The sequence below is a fragment of the Homo sapiens genome, chromosome 6 (assembly GCF_000001405.40).
Source record: "Homo sapiens chromosome 6, GRCh38.p14 Primary Assembly".
Taxonomy (NCBI): domain Eukaryota; kingdom Metazoa; phylum Chordata; class Mammalia; order Primates; family Hominidae; genus Homo; species Homo sapiens.
Window position 1 is genome coordinate 145368167 of NC_000006.12, and position 7274 is coordinate 145375440.

Consider the following 7274-nt stretch of genomic DNA (forward strand, 5'->3'; position numbering starts at 1 on the left):
CATTTTAACATTCAGTCAGCGAACGCTTACTAAACCATTTCAGTTGCCAGGAACTTTGTGAGAGCCCGAGAATAGCAGGATAGAAAACACATGGTCCCTGTTCTCACGGAACTGACAGGCTGGTGGAAGAGCAGACACATGTGCAGAGCAGTTCAACACAGTGTGATAAAGACAGGCACATGGGATGAGGAATCACCTGGCTATGCCACCTACTTCTGACCCCACTGGTGGAGGTCTGTTGGATGCAGAGAGACCTCAGTGGTTGAAAGGGCAATGAGAAGTTAATCAGCTGTAGGGGAAAAAAAAATGTATTTTTCTCTACCCATGCTAGGTTCATGGCTGAGGCCTCTACTGCAAAAATCAAATTAATAAGACAAAAGCATACAAATTTATTTAATATATGTTTCACATGACACTAGAGTCTTCATTAAAAAAAAAAGATTCAAGGAAATGGGTAAACTTGGCTATTTTTGTGCTAGCTTTAACGAAGAGTAGACAGTCCCAGAGAAAGATGACAGGCGAGAAAGTGAGATCCAATGGCGAGAAACTTGGGGGAAACTCAGCAAGGCCCATTCAGAGTCCTCTGTGTTCTTTCTTTGGAGGTAAGGATGTTCCCTTCTTCTGGGAATAGGGAGGGTGTCTCTCACATGAAAGTCTTATGACCTGCTTCAGAGAAAGGTCTGAAAATCCCTCTGGATTCTATGAACTGCATCAGGGAGGAAGGGCAAGGGAAGGCAGAGGGACCTTCCTGCTTCTGCGGTTTTCTCAATTCTTTCAGATTCAAATATTATGTGGTAGCATGTCCTGAACCCCATCACAGCCCTGGAAATAAAGGGATAGGAATTCCTGATAAAGGAAACAGCAGAAGGGAAAAGTCAGAAAGCAGCATTTGAGCTCTGGGAATGCTTCTATTCAACAGGGTCTGGAGCAGCAGCAGTGAGCAATGAGGTGGAAGCAAACAGGTGTCAGCTATGGAGACCCTTGTCAGTCATGGCATGAGGGTTGAACACAATGTTCTCTATTTTTGTTGCAAAATATCATTTTGCTGTTTATGGTGGTCTGATAGTTAAAGCACAGAATATTTATACCACAAAGCTCCTGTATAAAGTTGTGCTTCTGTAGTGAGTAATTGAGAAGGAAACTCTAAGTTGCTTCTGAACCTGGTTCCTCATCAGAATCACCTGTGAGTCCTTGAAAAATTACGCATTCCCTACCCCATCCCAGATAGGGTTTTAAACTGTTACTCAGATAATACAAATAAGTCCTGTTGGAAACTACTATTTTAGAGTCTCTGTTCTTAGCCCTTTCTGCCATTAGAATTGGCGGGAGAACTTCTAAGCCTGCAGATGTCCAGGCAAGCCCCATTCTCAACGGTTCCAGTTCATTCATCTGAGATAGTGCCCAGATATCTGCCTTATAAAAATTTCCAGGTGATATCAGTGTGCAGTCATGCCTAAGGACTACTAATGAGTTCAGACTCTACTGTTGCACCAAATAAGATGCAGTCGAAGCTAATGATCCATTAGAGAAGGAGGAGCCAAATAGGAAGAACGGAGAGGAGGAGAGAAGGGTGTACAGGAAGCCGACAGGTGGGTGTGCAGGATGCATGCTGGTTAAGAACACCAGCTTGGGGATTAGACACAAAGGGTCTGAACTCTGCTGGTTTTGATGCATTGATCAAGCTACTTAACCTTCCCAAGCCTCAATTTCCTCATCTGTAAATGAGATTGATGATATGGCTGTGGCATTAAAATGTAATATTCTTAGCACCATGCAGGTTAAATGTTATTTATTAATATTAAGAAAGTGTTTAAGCAGGAGGGAGTACTAAGTGTTTCCAAAAGGTTAAATGAGATTAGATCTAAGGTTTCCAAATAAATGAACCACATGAAAATCACACTCATCTCAGCAAGAGCAGGAGAGGTACAGTGGTAGGGATGAAATCCAGAATTGATTCTAAGCCTCATTTCTATATAAATTTGGAGATTCAGAAAACTACAGACTTGTACTACATAATTTTACTGTCTGGTAAAAACCCCTCATATAACTTTAATATTAAGTCCTCATTTGTATTAAGAACTAATAAATAAAATGACTCTATGAAGATTATGTTGACATTGTGTCCTTCATTTTCAAAAAGAACTAGTATTTAAAAACAATTATATGTGTAAGACCTGTGCACTTTTTGTGAAGCTGCTATTGAGGGCATCGCTACTAGGTTGTATAATGCCACTTAATTCTATTTTTCCTTAGAGATCAGAGCCTGGTTTTTCTCCCCATGGAAGAGCATACCACACTCAGGGCAGCTGTGCAGGCCAATGGCGGTATTGGCATTCTACCTCAACTCTGTACCCAGACCACTAAGCCTGATTCTGGTCTGGCCTCTTCCTTGTAGCAGATCTTCAGTTTAGGTTCCATTCCCTTTCTGTATTCCTTTCCTCAGATTTGGCATTTGGATTTTCTTCTGGCTTTCCAGGGCACTGAGGTAAAGCACAGGCTTCAATTTCAATTTGCTCCCTGCCCAAGTCTGGGCAGCTGAGACCCCCAACACCCTCTGCTGCCTCCCAGACTGCAATTGCAATCATGCCAAGAAGTGTGCCTAGAGGGTGCCATTTCCCAAGACACAATACATGACAATAGTGCAAATGACTAATAAGGCATGATTTTAAAAAACAAATAAAAACAAAAAGCAAAAACACTAGTTTTGACACACTAAAAAGACATTTAAAATGGCAAATATTTTGACATCTACAAAATACAAATATGAAGCAGTATTACATGAAAAATGTCTCAATTTAACATACAGTGATTATTAATATGTAGAATGGAGTTTACATACATTGACGAAATAGGAAGATAATTTAGAAAGACATAAAAAATTACAGTTAAATATTTGTCAGACTTTCTTGCTCTGCAAAAATGGCTTAATTGAAAAGAGATCAAGCTGGAAACTACTTGACCTGTTTTTGTTAAATCAGCCTTCCTAAGACCACTTTACTAATGGAAGCAATTTGTCCATCAAATCTTTCACCAAAAGACCAATTACTTTGTAGGGTATGCAATGAATTAGCATTGGCTTCATCTCTTAAATCACTTTTGCACTTCTAAATAAATGGCATTTTTGACTTCTGCTATTTGTTAATCAGAACCATAAAAATCAAATCTCAGCAGATCAGAAGTAAATTTTTATTTGGGAACTCAAAGAGAGGTACTCTATCTCAATGAAATGCAGAGTTGGCTGCCTATAAAATTAAGCATTGGACTTGGAAAATAAATTTTAAAGAAATTATAAACCACTCCGCATTTGTGATGTATATTTATACTAAATAAATGGGTAAATGCATGGATCCTAATTGTCATTTTCCATTTAACTAAAAATAAATACACTACTTGCCTTGAAAATTCAATAAAAAATTCAACCCAATTGTATTTTCTATACTTTTATATGATCGAAGCTTAAGATTCGACCATAATACTTCATCTCACTGGTGCGCATGACTATGGGCGTGACTGCTTATACCCTGCAAAAGAGGTCTTACTCCAGGCTTAGCACCCTATTCCCATTCCGGCACATGTTCACTCTGTCTTCTGAGCCTACCATACGCCTTTACCCAGGGACCTAGTTTGTGCTCTCTGACAGTGCCCTTTGAACTGAATGTAGCTTTGGGGCTGCCTCCTCGGCTCCCTACCTCTGATGTCAGCTCCAGCATCAGAAGATGAAGCCCCGCTGCTTGCTGAGTTGGGAAATTTGATATTTACTCCCCAACTGGGTGAGCAAAGGGGCTTTACACTGTTAAACATGCACGCATGCACATATACACACACACGCACACACACACGCACACACACGATAAAGGTATTAGAAAAATTACCCTAGGCATAACAAACTCTTGAAATACAACTTCCTTCCCAATATTTACCTTCCTCCCCTCGTCCTTTACACTTGACTTCTCCCTCTTTTCTCCTTTAAGGTCCTACTCTATCAATTAGCAGTTCTCTCTTCTCTCTTCAGTATTTTCTTCTTTACCACCTTTTAATTTTCTTACCACTACCTTATCACTGTCAATAGCACCACCTACACCACCCAAATTGTAATGTCAGCTTTACTTTCTCCCCTAATGGCTTACTTGCCACGACAATGTTGCTTCAATAACACTATGGAACGAAAACCACCTCTTTCCATTGACAGCCTGGAAGTCCTGAAGGGACTTTAAATTCAATTTTCTCAAAGTAATTAATTTTACCTTCAAATTACAAGTTCTAGACTATCCTTTCAGTTTATAGTTTTGCCTTAATCATCTGTGATTTAAAAACAACTTAGGAATCAGATTTGACTTCTCCATTACACTATTAGATACCAGTTGCTCATAGAGTTGAAATCTAAAATGTCATTTATACTTTTGCTTTCTTTTCCATTCCCACCTTATAGTTGTTAAAAAAAAAAAACCTTTAGACAAATTAAACATAACAGATATTAGTTGAGCAAACAACAATACATGAATCAGGCAGTGCTCTGAATCAGAAGAGGTTGAGATAACTCCCTCCCACAACATGGCCAAGCTGCATTTATAAACAGAAAATGAAAGTGAGGTACAGAAACAGCTTGACTGGTTACAACTTCGCCTTTGCTTTACTTGAATATGGTCTGATCAGCTGGCAGCCTGTGATTGACTGAAGTCTGGCTGCTGTGATTGGCTGAGACTCAGCTATTTATACAAAAGTAGACTCCCGGCTTTCAGTTTAAGCACTATTATAAGTTAGGTTGCAGTTCTTCACATAGGGACTCAAAGTACAGAGGCATCCTCAGGCCAAATTTAGTTTAGCTTAGCACACTTGTCATCACTTCGCTAGCACCACACTTGATAACCCTGGTGAGATCACAGCTGGCCATAGACAGTGACTGCCACAGGGAGCAAACACCACACTTTCCCATTCTGCTTCACTCCCACGTTTAGAGCCAGACCTTTCCTTTGTTCCTTGCTGCACAGCTGGAATAAGGCAGTGGCTTTTAGTGAGGCTTCAATGAGGGATCAGAATAATGGAAACAGTGTCTTTTCATCCACTGGACACTGGGAATAGCACCTAAGCTGCTTTCAGGTCCACCAGACATCTTTGAGATGTGAAAAACACAGTAGTGTCTGGCTCTATGGCTATTGCAAGACAATTTCATGGTATTTCCCAAAGTTTGGACTATTTTGATAAACAACAGAACAACAACCTTATGAACTGAGTGGGGAAAAAAATCCCATAACTTTGCAATACTGTGTAAAACCATATAATTCTAATTTACTTAGGCAGAGAAACTGGCATCCCATCTTCACATTTACAGAGCAATATTCTAAAAGGCAGAATGCTATGTTAACTCTTTGAAAGTTGGAAGCTGACCTACCTTTAAAGAGGTTTTAGATTTCGCTCTTTTGGCACCATTGAAAAGGCTTTAGGCATTTTCAAAGAGGGAGAAAATGCACTGACATCGTTATCATATCAATTAAAAAATACTCTGTCAAAGGAAAGCCTTTAAGCAATTCTCCTCCACTGATGCTCTTAACTGATTAAAAGGTTACCTTAAACTTTACTAATTTTGTGCCCTTAGGCCTACGAGAAGCACCTAAAAATTCAGTTCTGTCAGTATTCCTTCTGAGGCTCTTGTGCCCAGTTTATTGGGGGATAAGAAAGACTCAAGATATTGTTAGCATTGGAACAATCCAGGAACTTGGACTAATCTCTCCTGGAGTTGCCAGAAGCTTCCACACATTACTTAATAAAAACTGCCTTAAAGTGTGACCAACATGAACACCCTGAGGCAGTTTTTTCTTTTTTGACAAGTGCCAGAAGCTTCTATCATAATGGAGATTTAGCACAAACACAAGAGGTCAGGTGTCTACTGTAGGGGTTTCTCAGCAGAGCAGGCCATTTGAGCCATTTCTAAAGAGGAAAATAACAAGATCAGGAAAGGCCTAAGGGCAAATACTACTTGTCAAGCCTTATTATCACCATGGGAAGGAGTTGCATTTTTAGAACTTTCCTCTATAGTTGAAACCGTTGTCTTTCAACTGAAGATGAGACATTTCAAGCTATGATAATTATGCCAGTGAAACAGCCTTTTACCCTAGAATGACTCCCAATTTTTATCAAGTGCATTTACTACATGGTTTGATTTGGATATGGGGGATTGGGAAATTAGTATTTTAATACAGCTACATACATGGCAGCCCACTACCGACATTTTTCTTTTCTCTCTTTAAAAACTTTCATTATTTCATTAGTGTTTTATACATTCATTATAAAACACAAGAGAGTATAGAATTAAGCAAAAAGAAAATATCACTGTGAAAACACTACCTTGCTATCCTGGCCTAATATTTTAGTATATAGTATTTTTCTGTGTAATATTTTAGCACAAAACTTTCTAATTTTTGTCTATGCAAATATGTGCACATAAATTTGAATTAAATATCTTAAAAAGTACCATATTATCTATGTATCTACATATCTATATCTAAATAAGCATTTTTTTCAGTAATATAACCATCTCTTCATGTCAAAAATGTAATCTGACATTAAAATTAATGACTATACACTATTTCAAGTTATGTTGCATCATAAATCACTTAGCCAATTCTCTATTGCTTAATATTTTGTTTAGTTATCAGTTCATATAGGCTAGCTTATACTGTGTTAACAAATAACCACTTAATTGCAGTAGTTTTACACAACAAACTTTATTTCTTGTCCTGCTACATGTCCATTGTGGGTTGGCCAGAGGCTGAGAGTGCTCCATGTCGACTGCACTCCATGATACAGGCTGACACAACAGCTACCAACGGGTTTCTGCTTGTCAAGAGAGAGGCAAAGAGAGCTTTGTAGGGTGCTGCATGGGCAATGGAGGTTCTGCTCCTCACAACTGATTGACCAGGAGTTGTCACATGGCCTTAACCAGGCACAAGAAGGCAAGCAAGTACAATCCTACCATGTTTTCAAAACTGAGATTGAATTTCATTAAATTGTTGAAAAATAAATTACAGATGACTAAGGAACTACAATAAGAGTTGCAGCTTTTACAACAGGTACACTAAAAATGAGAAAACTCAAGTTCAGGAATGCTTTGAGCCTGGTCCAAAGACAATCAGCTCATCAGTGTGCAAAAGAAAATAAAATCTCAGGACCCCCAAACTTGCTATGCCAAGGGGAAAAGTTAAGCCTGGGAACTGAGTCATTCAACCCTTCCATTCTTCTTTCTCTAAACATATAGCTGTAACTTCACAACTCTGTTT

The 7274-nt window shown here is 38.9% G+C and overlaps 1 annotated feature.

Moving 5' to 3' along the window:
• Positions 4473-4572: an enhancer, noted in NCBI's record as "active region_25223". NCBI's record gives its function as "activates an Ori minimal core promoter by ATAC-STARR-seq in GM12878 lymphoblastoid cells {active_cell/tissue: GM12878}" and the evidence as "EXISTENCE:reporter gene assay evidence [ECO:0000049][PMID:35858748]".